The sequence below is a fragment of the Homo sapiens genome, chromosome 20 (genome assembly GCF_000001405.40).
Source record: "Homo sapiens chromosome 20, GRCh38.p14 Primary Assembly".
In the NCBI taxonomy this organism is placed as follows: domain Eukaryota; kingdom Metazoa; phylum Chordata; class Mammalia; order Primates; family Hominidae; genus Homo; species Homo sapiens.
In genome coordinates, this window is record NC_000020.11 from 48,084,377 (window position 1) to 48,102,706 (window position 18,330).

Here is an 18,330-nt window from a genome sequence, read left to right on the forward strand (position 1 = left end):
CTTGTGCACATATGTTTATAGCCGCTCTCTGTGTAATTGCTGAAACATGGAGGGAACCCAAATGGCCTTTATCAGGTGCTGGGGTAAAAACAGCTGGTGCGAGACCACTGTGAAAGGAAAATCAATCTGGGGACCCCGAAATCACTAAGCCACGGTGAAAAGTCAAGCTGGGACCTGCATTGGGCAAACTTGCCTCCCATTTTGTTCCTAAATACTGTAGCAGGATGAGCTGCAGACGAAAATCCTCAGATACTGAGTTAAAGAAGGAAGGGGTTTATTTGGCTGGGAGCATCAGCAAGACTCCTGTCTCAAGAGCTGAGCTCCCTGAGTGAGCAATTCCTGTCCCTTTTAAGGGCTCACAACTCTAAGGGGCTCCACGTGAGAGGGTCGTGATCGATTGAGCAAGCAGGGGGTACGTGACTGGGGGCTGCATGCACTGGTAATCAGAACGAAACAGAACAGGATGGGAGGTTTTACAATGTCCTTCTATACAATGTCTGGAATCTATAGATAACATCGGTTGCTAGGTCAAGGGTGGAATTTACTACCAGGCTTAAGTCAGGCAGGCCCAGGCCTAGTTTCGGGTCTGGTTCTTTGGTTTTGGGTCTGGCTCTTAGGAGCTGGGCTACCTGCCTTTTGTTTCGCTTTTCTTTCCTTTTCTGAGTATAAAACAATATAAAACAATATGAGAGGGTCTGTCTCTCTTCTCTCAATACGATTGCTACAAAGATTAAAAAAAAAAAAAAGTTGCCCACCTCCCTCACAATTTACCCACAAGGAAATTCCTTGTGGACAAAGGACAGACAGAACTCAGTCATCCCTCTGCTCACTAAGATAAATGCATATCTGATTGTTTCCTCTGCCCTGTTGTTTCACTAAGCCAGACTAAGGCATAAGTGACTATTCCTCTACCCTCCTCTCACGCGTGAACTGCATTTTCAGTAAAAGGCTAATCAGAGACTCAAGAGAATGCAACCGATTGTCTCTTATCTACCTATGACCTGGAAGCCCCCTCCCCGCTTCGAGTTGTCCCACCTTTCCGGACAGAACCAATGTATATCTTACATATATTAATTGATGTCTCATGTCTCCCTAAAATTTATAAAACCAAGCTATGCCCCGACAACCTTGGGCATGTGTCATCAGGACCTCCTGAGGCTATGTCATGGGCACGTCCTTAACCTTGACAAAATAAACTTTCTAAATTGATTGAGATCTGTTTCAGATACTTTTTGAGTCATGCCACTCAGCAATACAAAGCAATGAACTATTGATAAACACAGCAACTCCTTTGATTCTCAAAGGCATTATGTTGAATGAAAGAAAACAGTCTCAATATTACATACTGTACATTTCCATTTATATGACTTTCTCAAGGAGAAAGAAACCATACAATACAAGAAGGGTGTGAGATTATATGGGGAAGGGGATGGGGTGACTTGGAGAAGCTAGCATAAGGCGTTTTTTTTGTTTTGTTTTTCTCTGGGGAGGATAGAGCTGTTCTGTATCCTGATCATGGTGGTGGTTACACAAACCTATACACACATTAAAATTCATAGAACTGCACACCACACAAAGGTCAGTTTTATTGTATAATAATTTTTTAAATAACATTTAAGGTCACACTCACACAAAACTGATCTCTCTGAAAGTATTAGTTGGATTTCCCTTTATTTATTTATTTTTTTAAAGGACAACCCCGCTGGCCCCAATCTCACCTAGGCATGGCCTGGATTTCTGCAGAAGGACAGGCCAGCAGACCTCACTTCAAAGGTGGCATCAAACACTGTTCCTGCCTATAAAAATACAGTACAAGCAAGCCTGATTTTAAAGCCTCATTTTTCTTCCTCTTCCTCCTCCTAGTTCTGACAGGGCATATGGAAATAATGTTAGAATGTAAACTTTGAGCATGAATGAGAATTCTATTTCCAGAGATGTTTATATTTTTTTTCTCTTGGGTTGAAACCCTCAATCATATCCAAATAAATTATTTGGGGATGTTGGTAAGAGGATAAATCTTAGGGGGTTTTCACAAAGGTCTGAATTCTGAGAACCTCTTTTTCTTGGGACTGTGTGTTTTCTAGAGAGTGGGAGGCGCTGGTGGGTTACATGACATTTTGAATTACTATATTTTCTTTTCCCTTTATATATTCACAAAGCACTCTAGATATTGGGCAACTGCAAGTCCAAGGTGAGAAGGAAGATAGGCTTTTGCAAAGACAATCACTGTTCAAAGCACACGCAAAGATTCAATGTATTCATAGAGCCCTCCCAAAGGAAACAGCAACAGACCAGAGTCTTTATTCACATTTTCTCAACCAGCAATCGGGAAAGAAATACAGGTAATAAGATACGAAATACCTGTTGCCTATGTTTAACTTTGTTTTTAGGTAGCCAGGGACTCTGTTTAAATGGCTGGTGAGTGAGGGTGGAAATATTACATAATGAAGAGAGGGGTGTTTAAGGAACTGCAGTTTAAAGTTTTGTGCAAGAATAATGCCATGTTGTTTTATTTTGAGGTGGAGTCTGGCTCTATTGCCTAGGCTGGAGTGTAGTGGCGCGATCTCAGTTCACTGCAACCTCCACTTCCTGGGTTCAAGAGATTCTCCTGCCTCAGCCTCCCAAGTAGCTGAGACTACAGGTGCACGCCACTACACACAGCTAATTTTTGTATTTTTAGTAGAGACAGGATTTCACTGTGTTGGCCAGGCTGGTCTCGAACTCCTGACCTCAAGTTATCTGCCCGCCTTGGCTTCCCAAAGTGCTGAGATTACAGGCTTGAGCCACCATGCCTGGCCACAAGAATGATGTGTGTGTGTGTGTGTTTTTTTTCTATTCCAAGCACCTTTCCTGCCTGCCCAGTTTTGAGAGCATGTGTGTGTATTCATTAGTAAGCTTCGGCTGTAAGTAGCAGGAATCTAAATTAAACTGCATTCAAAGATAAGAGAAGATGGAAGTGGAGGATTGGTTTATTTAACTAAAAAGTCCGGAAGACGATTGCAGGCATGTTTGCATCTGGGGGTTTTATCCATTATGAGTCTTAGTTACAAGCAGGAAAAATCAATCTAACTCATTAAGTATAAAATGCCTTATTGAACACTAATTTTTCATGTAGAAAGGCATGAAATTATAAGATGGAAAATTTTCTAAACATGAGAGGAGATTTAAATGGGGGCAAACAATAATAAAGACAATATTAACAACAATGGCGAACACAATTCCGTAGTTATTAAATGCCTGGCAGTCTTCTAAGATCTTGTGTCCATTAATTTAATCCTCACCACATCCCTTTGGAGATTGGTCTTCTTTGGATGAAGAATATGTGATAAAGGGACCTAAAGTAACCTACCCAGGTCTAGGCTGACCATCCCTCCTGTCTTCCCTGGGACAATCCCAACATAATGCTGTCCAAAAATAATGAGGAACACCCCCATTTATTCTCAAAAGTGGTCTGATTTAGTCAATAGATTTGATCATCATTCTACTAGGGTCCTACAGCCAGGAAGAGAAGTTTGGATGGCAAGGACACACTTGTGAGGTCCGATGACATTACTAGATTGTCTCCCTCCTCCATCTCTCAGCCCTGCCTTCCTGTTTGGGCTCACCTTCAGGTGGTCCTACTCCACAGGGGGGACCTTGTGGCCCGAGGCTGCCCAGGCTGAGCTCCTTTCACTTCCAAAGTCAATTAAAAGAGACATCCCCTGGCTAAGAGTTTCAATAGAAATCAGAATTTCAGCTCACTGGCCCAGGGTGGGTCTACGACTCCCTTTTGGAACCTCGGCTGATGCCCCAGGAAACTCAAATGCTGAGAGTAGTGGGTATTGCTCAACAAAAAAGGGGTTGGAGGGTGTTCTGATCCAGAGAAGTAGAATGGATGCTGGGATTGGGGGTGCCGTGATCCAGAGGAATAGAAGGGACAAGTGGCAGATGTCCAACCTAAGTCTCAAGGCCAACCATTTATTATGGCTCCTTTGTACAAAAGACTTGTTGGCAAAACTGGATTCTTTCTGCACTCTCTGAAATACTATGTATTTACTGATGATCACAGAAGGCTGATCGTATCATGATACAATCAGATGTTGCCATTGGAACCAATTCTGTCGGTGACACAAAGATGGGCAGAAAAAAGGGTCCTCCCCAAATAGTTTGTAATCTAGGGCAGGGGTTGGCAAGCTTTTTCTATAAAGGGCCGGATAGTGAATATTTTAATTGTTTTTTTTTTTTTTTTTGACAGAATCTCACTCTGTCGCCCAGGCTGGAGTGCAATGGCATGATCCTGGCTCACTGCAAGCTCTGCCTCCCAGGTTCTCGCCATTCTTCTGCCTCAGCCTCCCGAGTAGCTGGGACTACAGGCACCTGCCACCACACCCGGCTAATTTTTTTGTATTTTTATTACAGACAGGGTTTCACTGTGTTAGCCAGGGTGGTCTCAATCTCCTGACCTCATGATCTGTCCACCTCGGCCTCCCAAAGTGCTGGGATTACAGGCGTGAGCCACTGCACCCGGACAATATTTTAGGTTTTGAGGGCCACGTGTTGTCTCTGCCATATATTCTTGTGTGTGTGTGTGTGTTGTAAAAACCATTGTTAGTTCAGGGGCAGGACAAAAACGGGCTGAGTGGGCTGGATTTAGCCTGAGGAGATGGTTGGCCAATTCCTGATCTAGCAGAGATGACAAGAAGACATAGTTGTGTGAACAGAGGCCATGGCTGCCTTATGTCGCCTGTGGTGGCCCCATCTGTGTGAACCTGCTGGGTCCACATGAAGGAAGAGAGGAGCCTCAAGAAGGGCCATGGAGGTGAGACCCCAGAGTGGACACCAGGGCTGCTGGAGCAGAGCCCTGCAATTTGCTGGCAGTAATGGATGTTTCTCCTGAGAACCCCTTCTGCCCACTGTTCAGCTCAGACCCACCAGGGTCTCACGTCCTGAGTGGAGCCAGAAATGACCATGTAGCTGGTAAGAGCCAGGGTACTCGCTGCTGCCAGAGGGCCCTTTAGGTGTAGAGGAGAGTTTCTCACTTGCTCTTCTCCTCCATTGGCTACTCACTCAACACCTAGAATAAACACCAGACTCCTACAGAGTCTGCGATGTAGGTCGACCTCCTGCCCAATTCTCCACCCTCCTGGCACCCTCCCCTTTGGCCTCCTACCCCAGCCACACCCACCTCCAGGCTTATGAGCCAAGCATGGTCTCTCCTCTATGGCTTCACAGGTGCTGGTCCCCTGCCTGAAATGTTCTTCTCGTCAGCATCCACAGGGCTCATCTCACGTAGGTCTCTTCTGAAAATCGACCTTGTTGAGAGGCCTTTCCAGATCACTCTAAAATAGCCACCTCTGCCTTCTTTATCTTTGCCTTGCATTAATTTTCTTTGCTGCACATCACATATGATATGCTTTGGCTCCGTGTCACCACTCAAATCTCATCTTGAATTGTAATCCCCATAATCCCCACGTGTCATGGAAAGAATCAGGCGGGAGGTGATTGGATCATGGGGGCGGTTTCCTTCATGCTGTTCTTGTGATAGTCAGTTCCCATGAGAGCTGATGGTTTTATAAGGGGCTTTTCCCCCTTCACTCCTCGTGCTCACACTGTCTCCTGCCGCCTTGTGAAGAAGGTGTCTGCTTCCCCTTCCCCCATAATTGTGAGTTTCCTGAGGCTTCCTCAGCCAGACTGAACTGTGAGTCAATTAAGCCTCTTTTCTTTATAAATTACCCAGCCTCGGGCAGTTCTTTATAGCAGTGTGAAAACAGACAAATATTAGATTGGTGCAAAAGTAATTGTGGTTTTTGCCATTAAAAGCAATGGCAAAACAGCAGTTACTTTTCACCAACCAAATACAACATCTTTGATATATTTGTTTGTCAATTCATTTATTGTTAGTCCCCCCAACTGAACCAAAAGCTCCAGGAGGGCAGGGATTTTTGTCTGTTTTGCCTCCTGTATGCCCAGCACCTAGAAAAATTCTGGAACAAAGCAGCACTCCCTAGATATCTGCTGAATCAACGAATCAATAAATGAATGCTGGCACAAAGATAATCACTCTTTTCCAGAGGCCTTGAACCTAAGAAGAGATGAAAAATGCTACAGCCACAAAAGGAAAGTCTGTCTGAGCTAAGACAGAGATGCCAGATTCTGATGGCATCAATTGAACAACTTGATCAAGCTACACCTGAAGCTAGCCCTACTGCTGCAGCTTTCAATGACAAAAGTCAGCAATTCTCTTCATAGGTTTCTAAATCATTTTGGGTTGGAGATTTTGCTTCTTGTAATAAAGGATATTTTTATTTGGGTAGTCAGGAGAGAAGAGGACAAGGCGGAAAGGCAAGGAGGGATGAAGATGGAGCATGTGAGTGGTCAAATGATACATCAGGAGATATGGCAATTCTGGCCTCTAAGAAAATATAGTTCTCTGTAAGCCTTAGAGAAAATCCCTTTACAAACACAGCAAAGCCTCGAGCTGGGCTTACTTGGAACACACATTCTCACTACACGGAGAGTCCAGCACAAAGCAGGAAGGAGCGTGGGCCACAGAGAGAACACAGACCCTGGGGTCATGTGAGTCCAGTGAGGCTCCAACCCGCCCAGGCCGCTTTCCTGCAGTGCAGCCTTTGGCAAGCCCTCGAACCTCAAGTTTCTCATCTGAAAAATGGGCTGATAAATCTGAATCCCAGCAGTGTTATAATGAGGGTCAGTGGGACATGTATATTAGAGCACCTCGTGCCTGACATAGGACCTGGCCCATGGCACATGTTCAATACACAGCAGCTGCAATTATTCTGGTGGGGTCTGGATTTCCCAGCTTCAAGTGGGTACCTGAATTTGGAGATTTGCTAAAACTCTGCCTCCTACCATCAGAATTTAGTGTCAGAAATACAATTGGGCCAGGTGTGGTGGCTCATGCCTGTAATCCAGGCATTTTGGGAAGCTGAGGCGGGAGGATTGCTTGAGTCCAGGAGTTCAGGACCAGCCTGGGTAACATGGAGAAACCCCATCTCTACAAAAAATACAAAAAAGTAGCTGGGTGTGGTGGTGCAAGCCTGTGGTTCCAGCTACTTGGTCTGGAGGTGGGAGGATGGCTTAAACCTGGGCGGTCTAAACTGCCCCATTGAAACTTCTCTGTTTTCTTACATCTGTTTTCTTCTCTGTTTTCTTACATGCAGTGAGACGAGATCATGCCTCTGTACTCCAGCCTGGGTGACAGAGCAAGACCCTGTCTCAAAAAGAAAAGAAAATAAACAGAATTGTTCCACTGACAAGCCAGAGAACATCACTTCCCCAGAGATTGTGTCCCACCAAATTACAAAATGCTTTTGCAACCACCAGCACAGAACATCCCATAGAAAGCATTAAATGACAGTGGGCCAGCCAGATGCGGTGGTACACACCTGTATTCCCAGCACTTTGGGAGCCTGAGGAGGGAGGATCACAAGGTCAGGAGTTTGAGACCAGCCTGGCCAGTGTGATGAAACCCTATCTCTATTAAAAATACAAAAATTAGCCAGGCATGGTGGCATGTGCCTGTAGTCCCAGCTACTCAGGAGGCTGAGGCAGAAGAATCGCTTGAACCTCGGAGGCGGAGGTTGTAGTGAGCCAAGATCGCACCATTTTACTCCAGCACTCTGTCTCAAAAAAAAAAAAAAAAAAAATGACAGTGGACCATATACTGATGAAGCTCCCATCTTTCTTGTTTCCTTCTCGGCTTCCTTTCCATCCTTTTGGTTAAGCCAATGAGAGATGCTCAGTAGGGTGCAAACAATGTCTTATCATCCTAGGAAACAATGGCTTCCTAATCTTCCATGCTAATTAGGGATGATGTCTGAACAGGAATTCCAGTTACTCAACTGCACAGCCATGCATCTTTCAATACTTGGTGCACCTTCGCTTACCAGTTTAGTTAAGCTCTAAGGAGATAGCATCTGTCTTTTTGACAAGATGTAAGAAAACAGAGAAGTTTCAATGGGGCAGAAGGCAGGAAACTTTCATACCAAGGATGGGCAGCCCAGGAGGAGGGACAAAGGCCGGGGCCCCTGGAAATTGGGAATTGGGGGTGGGGGGACAGGTGGGGAGCAAGGTTGTTAGAAGGAGGCTGGGAGGTGGCCATGGAGAGAAGTATGATGGGGACATGCTGAAGCCACAGTCCCTCACTGACATCCTCACAGAGGGATGCATTTTTCTGCTGTGCTCGGACCGTTGTGGATGCTTCTGTTCCAGTAGAAAGGTGCACTGTGAGGCTCATGCCTGCCCTGTCCCAGGCCCAGAGTCGTCTGTCATCTGAACACCTCCAAGTCATCTGCGGCTGGCAGAGTCCCAGCTCCCATCACCATCCATCAAAGCTGGTGATGAATCCAATATCCGGGGCCTGTGAGCCCGGAGAGAAGCGAACAGAACCCATCTGTGTGGGCTGCTTGGCGCTGGGACACAGGGGCCTGAGGAGCTCCTGATGGAGGAGGAGGCCAGGGCTGGCAGCCTCACATGTTTTCCCTCCCGTCTCGAATTTCTCTGTCCAGGAGTAGCAGACAGTGTGGAATGCACCCCTCCAGAGAAAGGGGAAACCTGGCAGCCTCTGAGGCCCGTCCACTCACTGGACACATGGAAATGAGCCCCAAAGGGAAGCTTGGAGAAGAAGGAGCCATTTATCAGGTCCCCATTCACCTCTTCCTAAGGACACAAGAAGACTTGTTTGGCCACTGCTGAGAGACCCACTCCACTGGAAGAAGTTTCCAGAAGTTGATGGATGGTCGCCTGTATTTCAGCCAGTTGTTCATGACTCAGGGTCAATGCTCCATTGCTCCCATTCACACGTTGCATCCATCTTCCTTGCAGATATTTGAGTTCTCTTCTGTTTCCAGCCTCAACATATCTCTTGCTTCCTATCCATATCAATGATTCCTAATACGTGTGTCAGACAAAGGCTGTTACTGTAAAATGGCAGCTTTCTTCATAGAGGTTCCATCTGGGCTTTGACATACAGTGGTTCCATGGAAGGGTTAACAATGAACATTTGGTGTTTTGAAAATGTGTTCTGATATTTCAGAAGAAAAGCTGAAGCAGGGGCGGAAATCCCCCACCAGGACCCTGGAGGCATGGTGGCCCTGGCTCTGAGATGCACCAGCTACTGAAATTCACATAATAAAGGAAAAATCCAGGAAAAGGTGGGGAGAGAAGGTGGCAGAGGGGATGGAGGAAGAGCAGAGGGAGAGTGTGGACATCCTGGAAGAGAGGGGAGGAGATGCAGGGAGGAGCTGACTGAGGCCCCATCCTCTGCTGGAGGTTTACAGACATCACTTTATTTCGTTCTCGTGACAAGCTCTCCAAGGCAAGAATTATGTTATAAATAGATTAAGGTTGGCAGCTCTTTTTTGTTTGGTTGTTTTTTGTTTGGTTGGTTGTTTTTTGTTTGTTTGTTTTGTCTTGTCATTGTTGTAGCGTAGCACATAGAGCAATACCTGACACATCATAGGCGCTCGAGAAATACTGATGGATGAATAAACTAAAGAATGAATAAAATGAATAAAGAAGGCTCTAAGATATGAATAGACATTTCTCCAGTGAAGATGTGCCAATGGCCATAAAATACAAGAAAAGATGCTCAACATCACTAACCATTAGAGAAAAGCAAATCAAAACTACAGTGAGATACCACCTCACAACCATTAGGATTCCTATAATAAATAAAAAAAAAAGGAAGAAACAAGAAAACAGAAAATAATAAGTGTTGGTGACAATGAGGAGAAGTTGGAACCCGGTGCCCTGTTGGTGAGGATGTAAAAAGGTGCAGCTGCAATGGACAACACTATAGCAGATCCTCTAAACATTAAAAATGGAATTACCATACGATCCAGGAATTCCACTTCTGGGTATGTACCCAAAATTACTGAAAGCAGGGACCTGAAGAGAGATTTGTACACCTATGTTCAAAACAGTATTATTTACAATATACAAAAGGTATAAGTAACACAAGAGTCTATTGAAAGATGAACCAGGTAGACAGCGCCCTTGACATAAGTGACTCCATGTTAGGAAAAGACTTCATCTTATACTTCAAATAGTGTCATGTCAACAGGGACCAGATATTTGCCTAATAAATAGAGACAGCCCCCAATCAGATAAGAACATAACCGGACATGCCCTTTTACTATCATCACCAGGGGACCCTGGAGCTATAAAAAGAGCAGGGCTTCGCCAGCTTAAGATAGCCATCTTAATAGGCACTGCCTTCCTGTCCCTTGTGATCAGCATCCAGGATCTGCCACTGAAGGACTGCCCAAATCAAAGACTATTCTTTGCAAGATGTTGATACCCATCCAGATCAGGCCAGGACACTCTTCTTGTCCACGTCACTCTCCTTGGACTGGTTTGTTAACCATTTTTCCTATCCCCTTTTCTCTTGATGTCAAATGTTATTTTGTTTGATGTGGAATATTTAACCTATAGCATTTATATATTAAGTATACTACTATGTATGGCTTGTAATATTCACTGATTTGCGGATCGTCTTGAATGTGTGTGCCCATGGCTTTGATGACCAAGTGAACGGAGGGTTGGGGTACTAAGAAGAATTGTCTCCTTGGAAACTCCATGTAATTTCTGGCTTTTATGGTTGAAATAGGATCAATAAAAGTCTGACCTTGTGGAAAGATACAAACGTGCATTGACCTGGTTATGTCTGACCTTGTGCCACTCATGACAAACGAATACAGAAAATGTGGTATATACGTACAATGAACCATTATTCAGTCTCAAAAAAAGAGGAAATTCTGACCCATGCTATGACATGGATGAGCCTTGATGACATAATGCTAAAGAAAAGAAATCAGTTATGAAGGAACAAATGTAGACGCTCCTCAACTTACAATGGATTTACGTCCTGGTAAACCCATCATACATTGAAAATGTCATAGGCCAAAAACGCATTTGATACACCTAAGTTGCAGAACATCATAGCTTAGCCCAGCCTACCTTATTCGGAACACTTACATTAGCCTAATTTTGGGTAAAATCATCTAACACAAAGTCTATTTTATAATAAAATGTTGACTATCTTATGTGATTTATTGAATATTGTACTGAAAGTGAAAAACAGAATGGTTGTATGGGAACTCGAAGTGGGGTTCTGCTGCATACGTGTCACTTTCACACCATTGTAAAGTTGAAAAATCCTGTGAGTTGGGACCAGCTGTGCTGATGATTCCACACATACGTAGTACCTGGATAGGAAAATTCATAGAGACAGGAAGGAGAGGGTGGTTGCCAGGGGTGGGGAGAAGGGAGAATGGGGAGTTAGTGTTTAATGAGTACGGAGTTGCAATTTTGCAAGATGAAAAGGATTCTGTGCATGAGTGGTGGTGGTTGCACAACAATGGGAATGTGCTTAATGCCACCAAACTGTCCACTTAAAAATTGTGGAAATGGGCTGGGTGCGGTGGCTCACACCTGTAATCCCAGCACTTTGAGAGGCCGAGGAGGGTGGATCACGAGGTCAAGAGTTCGAGACCAGCCTGACCAACGTGGTGAAACCCTGTCTCTACTAAAAATACAAAAATTAGCTGGGCGTGGTGGCGTGTGCCTGTAATCCCAGCTACTCAGGAGGCTGAGGCAGGAGAATCGCTTGAACCCGGGAGGGGGTGGTTGCAGTGAGCTGAGATCGCACCATTGCACTCCAGTCTGGGCTACAGAGCGAGACTCCACCTTAAAAAAAAAATTGTTAAAATGGTTAATTTTTAAGTGTATTGTTTTACCACAATATAAAATAATATTTTATTTTATTAACTATTATTAACACAATAGTGGTCTTTGGCAACTATGGGATTATTTCAGGGGTTGGCTAAAGGGGTCTCAGCTTCAAAAAGACAAAGCTGAGGAAAAGGGAGAAAAGAGAGTGAGAAACACAGCCAGAAGGGGCTGACCAGGGCTGAGGGAAAGGAAGCTGGGCCAGGGCTGCGGGCGAAGCCCTGTTGAAAGGGCAGGTGAGGCCTCACAGGCAGGGGCTCGAGACCCAGCCAGGTTGAACCTAGGGCTGGCAGGACACTTCCATAGTGATAGGAAGCCCAGCCTCCCTCCCAGTGCCTGGCGTGGGCCGAGGCCTTGTCCATCGAGGCCTGCTCTGTGGATTCAGGAAGAAGACCATAGGCAAGAAATCTTTTCGTTTCGGGAGACAGAAACCTACCTCAAATTGCTGCAAGCCAAAAAGGAATTCATTGGCTCATGTGACTGAGTCATCAAGGGATAACACAGGCTTTGGGCACAGCTGCATTCAGGAATCTGCCTCTCATTCCATCCCTCTGCTTTTCTTCCACTGTTTTCGCTTAATTTGTAGGCAGGTTTTCCCCTCATGATGGCAGAGACGGTCACAAGAAGCTCCAGGCTACATCTTACAGCCCAGCAATTTCAGAAGTATGAAAGAGAGCCCTGGGAGGCCGAGGCGGGCAGATGACCTGAGGTCAGGAGGTAGAGACCAGCCTGGCCAACATGGTGAAATCCCATCTCTACTAAAAACACACAAAAAAATGAGCCAGGTGCAGTGGTGGGTGCCTGTAACCCCAGCTACTTGGGAGGCTGTGGCAGGAGAATCACTTGAACCTGTGAGGTGGAGGTTGCAGTGAGCCAAGATCATGCCACTGCACTCCACCCTGGGCAACAAGTGAAACTGTCTCCAAAAAAAAAAAAGAAAAAGGAAAAAAAAAGGAAGCGAGACCAGATCCTCAGAGCGCTGAGTGCTGGCTAACCTCCCTCATTGGCCGGGCATGGTCATGTGACCATCTTCCATTCAAAACTTTGCCCAGCAGAATGGATAACTCTGATTGGCCAGGCTGAGGTCACATGTCCACTCCTGGAGCCAAGGGTGGGGTCAGCCCCACACTAACTACAGGGAGAAGAGGTGGTTCTCCAGAGGGAAGACAACTGCTGCTACCATAAGCTGCAGAATGCATGCGAGGCAGACAAAACCTGGAAGGCCATGCCAGTGCTCCTTCCCCATAAGACCCACTGGACAAGGCAGCACCAGGTTCCTGGGCTCAGACATAAGAATGAGGCAGAAGCCAACAGACAGTAGAAAACCTGTTCTCTGTAGCTTCCAAGGAATGACGGGCCACAGGGCACCTTTGGCCTGATCCTTCTGCAGACCTGGCATTGCCCGGAGAGGCTATCCTCGGACACCCTAGTGAGATGACCGCATGCCCACACCCTCACTGACAAGCAGCCCACTTGCTGCCCGAAGGAGACTGAGTGGTGGCACTGTCCTCTCTCTCTGGCCAGGAGGCTGGCATTTGGCAGAGCTGCCAGTACTGGCAGCTGAGAGCTTCTCAGGGTCCATGCCAAGTGGTGTGACCCAGTGGGACTGAGTGTGAAACACCTGGCCCAGTGCATTTCTGAGCCAGACAAAGCCAGCCTCTCTGTGCACTGGGCATGAAAAGCAAGACCAGGCAGCCACGACTGAGGGACACCAGGGCATCAGCAGCTTGATGGGGAGACCAATTGTACTTTGACCCCATCAGCAGGAGAAACTCAGATACAATCCTTAAGCACGACTAGAGTGGGTGAGAGCAAGAGGGGGCAGAGGAAAGATACAAGGAGGCAGCTCAAACCCTCCCACAACTTCAAAGTGGGAACGGATTCCTCAGGACCCTCTCCTGGGCTCATTCACTATCTCCTCTTTCTTCTCACAAGCACATCCATTTTACAGGGCCCAAGGAAGAAGGTGAGGGTAGATGGGTTGGAAACTAGGAATGTCTTCCATTATTCACTTTTCTCATAATAATAGCACTCCTGAATTCTAGCTGGGTGTACAGCTGCACAGAGTGAAGACTACATTTCCCAGCCTTCTCAGGGCTGGGTGTGGCCATGTGACCAGGCTCTGGCCAATGAGACTGAGCAGAAGTGGTGAATGTGACTCCCTTCTGGAGTCCTCAAAGGGCAAGGATGGCAGCTCTCCCTTTCATGTGGTTGGAACCCAGACATGTCAGGGAGCTGTCATGGGCCATGTGGAAGAGGGGCACACCCTAGGGACGGCAACCACAAGACAGAGGGAGCCCGGTGCCTGCCTGACCCCATTGTAGAGTGGAGCTGCCCTACCACCTATGTTGAGGTCACTGTTGCTTTGGGTCTTTGCAGCAGCAGCCTAACTTATAGACCAGCTCTTCCAGATTGGAGGAAGAATCCAGAGAATTCCCCTCAAATACACCAGTGCCCTTCAGAAGAATGAAGTCAAAACACGGAGACAGAATCCTGGGACCTAGGGTGGGAAAGAATGGAGTCTAAGCTCTGCCCACCCATTCAGCAGGTAGGCAAGGTGAGCCTGTCTGCCACTGTTCCTGCTCTGAGGATAAGGAGGTGAAACAACCTGGTCAACAGCATTACCTCCTGGTGCTGACAGTTCCTGTGTGGGAAAACAGACAATCAATAAGTTAAAAACAAACAAACAAAAAAAGATGATATTTTTCTGAGAGTGGTGAGTCCTCTGAAGAAAGCAAGCAGGCCCGCTGGTGGGAAAGGCTAGTTTATGTTGAGTGGTCAGAGGAGCTGGCATCAGAGCTAAAATCTGCAAGTGGAGAAGAAGCTGCATGGGAAGACTTTCACAGTGAGGGAACAGCAGGGGCAAAATCCCAGAGGCAGGAACAGCTTTGCACAATCTCCTAAGAAAAATCTTATGATCCTAAGAGCTACACAGCATGCTTACTGCGCATTAGGAGTGGTTCTTGGCATTCCTATGTGTCATATCCTTTAACCCTCACCCCTAAGGTAGGCGTGATGATTTTCTTCTTCATTTTACAAAGCATGAAACTGAGACGGAGGGATGTTTAATCAACTTGCCTAGGTCCCACTGCTGATAAACAATCGAGCCAGGCTTAGAACTCCCTCCCTTCCCTCCCAGGCTGGGAACTCTCTCCCCTTCTGCACTTCCGTTTTACCACCGAGCCTTAAATCCTGCAGTGGCTTGAAAAATATAAACCCTGTAGTTGTCAGAGCTAATGAGGACAGGCCTGTCCTGTGGCCTCTACCCCATCCAGATCCCTGGCTGGCTTATTGAGGTGTCATAAAACCTCACTGAGTGAATATATGGAGAACATCCTTGCCTAAAAGGACGGTCAGGGGCACAGAACAACATTTCTTTCCTTCTTATTTCTCTAATGGAGCAGACCGTCTTGAAGCTGTAACTCAAGCCAATGTGGCAATCCACAATCAGCCATCACTGAGTGCCAGGGGTGGGTCAGCACTTATGCCAGGATCCTGGGGTTAAAAGGTGAATAGACCACGGATCTCAGCCCCCTCAAAGATTTTGGTGCCCATCCCAGCCAAGCTCCTATGGCTTTTATTTCCTTGAAAAGCAGCATCTGAGCAGAACAGCTAAAGAAGGCCAAGTAAGAAGCAGTCTTGGCTGAGTGTGATGACTCACGCCTGTAATCCCAGCACTTTGGGAGGCTGAGGCGGGCAGATCACTTGAGCCTAGGAGTTCGTGACTGACCTGGGAAACATGGCAAAATCCTGACTCTACAAAAAATACAAAAAATTAGCCAGGCATAGTGGTGCATGCTGGTGGTCCCAGCTACCCAGAAGGCTGAGGCTGGAGGATTGCTTGAGCCCGGGGAGATGGAGGCTGCAGTGAGCTGAGATTGCACCACTGCACTCGGCCACTGCCTTCATTCAGTTCCCTGTTTCTTTTGCTGTCATCTGCTACTGATCTCTTTGTTTCCAGTCTTGTCCTAAAATCCCATTTCCAGAGATCCTGTCTAAAAAAAAAAGAAGCACACAGTCTTGTTGCAAAGGAATCAAAGATCAATAAAATTAATGTCCTGTGAATAAAACCATGAATGAAAGCCCCTCTTTGCCCCAGTTTCCCCTTCACTTCCACTTCCCTCCCTGAAAGCCAACCTTATCAATGGTTTGTATCCTTTCCTAGAGTTTGGTTTTGCGTAAATAGGGGTACAATGCTTTAGATATTGCTGATCCTTTTGATTCCGCTTGTGTCCCCTGATACTTTTGCCTCCCAAATATTTCCTAACGTCCACCCCCTTCTCTGCAGCCATTGCCCTCATTCAGGTTCCTATTTCTCTTGCTGTCATCTGCTGCAGATCTCCCTGTCTCCAGCCTTGTCCTAAAATCCCAATTTCAGGATCCTGCTGGAGAAATCTAATTAAAATGCAAATAAAACCACGTAAGGGACATTTGAGACATTCTGAAGCTACCCAGCATCTTCTGAATGTCCACCTGGTGTTGAGATAGTCTCCCATTGTGCAGTTTCTACCTCTCCAGGAAAGAAACCAGAAGACATTCATCCAGACTCCCTTGCTGCTGGGGGCAGTCATGTGACTTTGGCTTCTCCAATCATATCCTCTCATTTGAGGCTATGATTTGGGAGGGAATATGGAGGCAGCTTAGACAGACAGAACTGAGGTTTTCTTAAAGCGAGGGAGTGGAGGCATCTGGTTGTTCTGGGGTGGCAGGTGCACTTTCTGGTGTCTAGTGCCCCGTGGTTTGGTGCAACTCCTAGCTGTGTGTTTCCTGATCTATGCGCTGGCCCTTTGGAAGAGTCTCTGTGCCACCTACTACCCTTTAATGAATTTCTGTTTTGCGTAAGCCAGAGTGGATTCTGTTGTTTGCAATGAAGCAGACTGATTGTTACAGATCACATCACTCTCCTATACAAACTCTTCCTGTGTAAAAGTTTTCATTGGTTCCCCTGCCTGCCTGCTCGCCCCCCTAGCCTCTCCTTCTGGTGCCCTCATTTCACATTTGTACTCCAAATATACACCAACTGTATGCTCTGCACCGCTCCTCCTTTTATGCTATTCTGTGTACTGAAATTTTTATCTTACTACTGGCTGTGATGTGCCCACTTCTCAGAAGAGACAGCTGAGTCTCATGGACATGGTCACATGGTGCTGCAGAGCCAGGATCAGGACTCAGTCTCCTGCCCTTCCATCAAACACACGATCTTGCTTTGGAGAAAGCGTCAACACCACTCAACCACTTTCAGGCTGAGGCCCCTTCTCCTTTGTGCTGAATGAAAGATCCTGTTAAACCCCCTTTCCCTGATGCCCCTTTGCCCACAGCACATGCACCACACCATGCCTAGGCTATGCTCCCTCTCCAGGCTCAGGCACCACCCCACACACTCTCCTTTGCCCAGGGAGCTTCCTCTGCCCAAACTGTCTTCCCCATCTCTGTGGTCTGGCTTTGAAGCCAGACTCCGTGGGTTCAAATCCTGACTCTGTCTCTTCTGAGATTAGGCAAGTCACTAAATCTCTCTATGGCTCAGTTGCCTTGTCTATAAAATTAAGATGGTGATGGTAGCCCCCTTAAGTGTGTTGAGTGGAATAACAGAAAAACACGGATGAGTCACTTAGAAGAGTGGCTGGCACTTAGTGCACACACGGTCAACGTTAGCTACTATTATTATTATTAATTGTTTTTTTTGAGACAGAGTCTCGCTCTGTCGCCCAGGCTGGAGTGCAGTGGTGCGATCTCAGCTCACTGCAAGCTCTGCCTCCCAGGTTCACGCCATTTTCCTGCCTCAGAGTAGCTACTCCCAGAGTAGCTGGGACTACAGGCACCTGCCACCACGCCCGCCTAATTTTCTTTTGTATTTTTAGTAGAGACAGGGTTTCACCGTGTTAGCCAGGATGGTCTTGATCTCCTGACCTCGTGATCTGCCCGCCTCAGCCTCCCAAAGTGCTGGGATTATAGGCGTGAGCCACTGCGTCCGGCCGTCAGCTACCATTATTTTTTATCATTATCATCATCATCTGGCAAAGTCTACATCTGCCCACCTCTCATGGCCCCTGTTCCCTCCGGGCATCCTCTCTCCAGTGGGAGGAGGAATCATTGCTTTCCACTTGCGGCTCCCAGGGCACCTGCACCTAGTCCTTACTTAAAGCACATGCCATGCCTCTTCTGAGTGCTACAGGCAGGAAGCAGAGTGGATGCTTAAGAGGCTGGACTCTGGAACCAGAAGGACTGGTTTCATTCCCTGGCTGTAGCTGCTTATGAGCTGTGTGACCTTGGGCAAGTGACTTAACCTCTCTGTGTGTGCCTCCGTTTCCTGGGGAAAATGGAGATGATAATAGGAGCGATTTCATGGAGTAGGTGTGGAGACCCAACCAATCTGTTCATCCTTTGTCTGGCACACGGGAAGCGATCAATACATGTTGGCTCATCTTAGTTGTTTACTGCCTGTCTTGCGCTCAACACTGTGGGTGTCTTCAGGGCACAAACCAGGCTTTATTTACCTTTGTGCTCCTGGCACCCCATGCAGTGCCTGGCCCTGTGAGTTGCCACGTAGGTGCCCTGCACTTGTGGTCTGCTCTCATGTCAGTTGTTTCTTTCATGCCTCCC

The 18,330-nt window shown here is 46.7% G+C and overlaps 3 annotated features.

The window, feature by feature from the left end:
- Positions 7,839–8,347: an enhancer, noted in NCBI's record as "H3K4me1 hESC enhancer chr20:46720958-46721466 (GRCh37/hg19 assembly coordinates)". NCBI's record gives its function as "activates a minimal SCP1, AML or CMV promoter by ChIP-STARR-seq in primed H9 embryonic stem cells {active_cell/tissue: H9 hESC(primed)}" and the evidence as "EXISTENCE:reporter gene assay evidence [ECO:0000049][PMID:30033119]".
- Positions 8,348–8,856: an enhancer, noted in NCBI's record as "H3K4me1 hESC enhancer chr20:46721467-46721975 (GRCh37/hg19 assembly coordinates)". NCBI's record gives its function as "activates a minimal SCP1, AML or CMV promoter by ChIP-STARR-seq in primed H9 embryonic stem cells {active_cell/tissue: H9 hESC(primed)}" and the evidence as "EXISTENCE:reporter gene assay evidence [ECO:0000049][PMID:30033119]".
- Positions 10,087–10,256: an enhancer, noted in NCBI's record as "experimental_60566 CRE fragment used in MPRA reporter constructs". NCBI's record gives its function as "activates a minimal promoter by MPRAs in K562 erythroleukemia cells, with activity observed for both the introgressed and non-introgressed 20:46723291 variant alleles {active_cell/tissue: K562}" and the evidence as "EXISTENCE:reporter gene assay evidence [ECO:0000049][PMID:34662402]".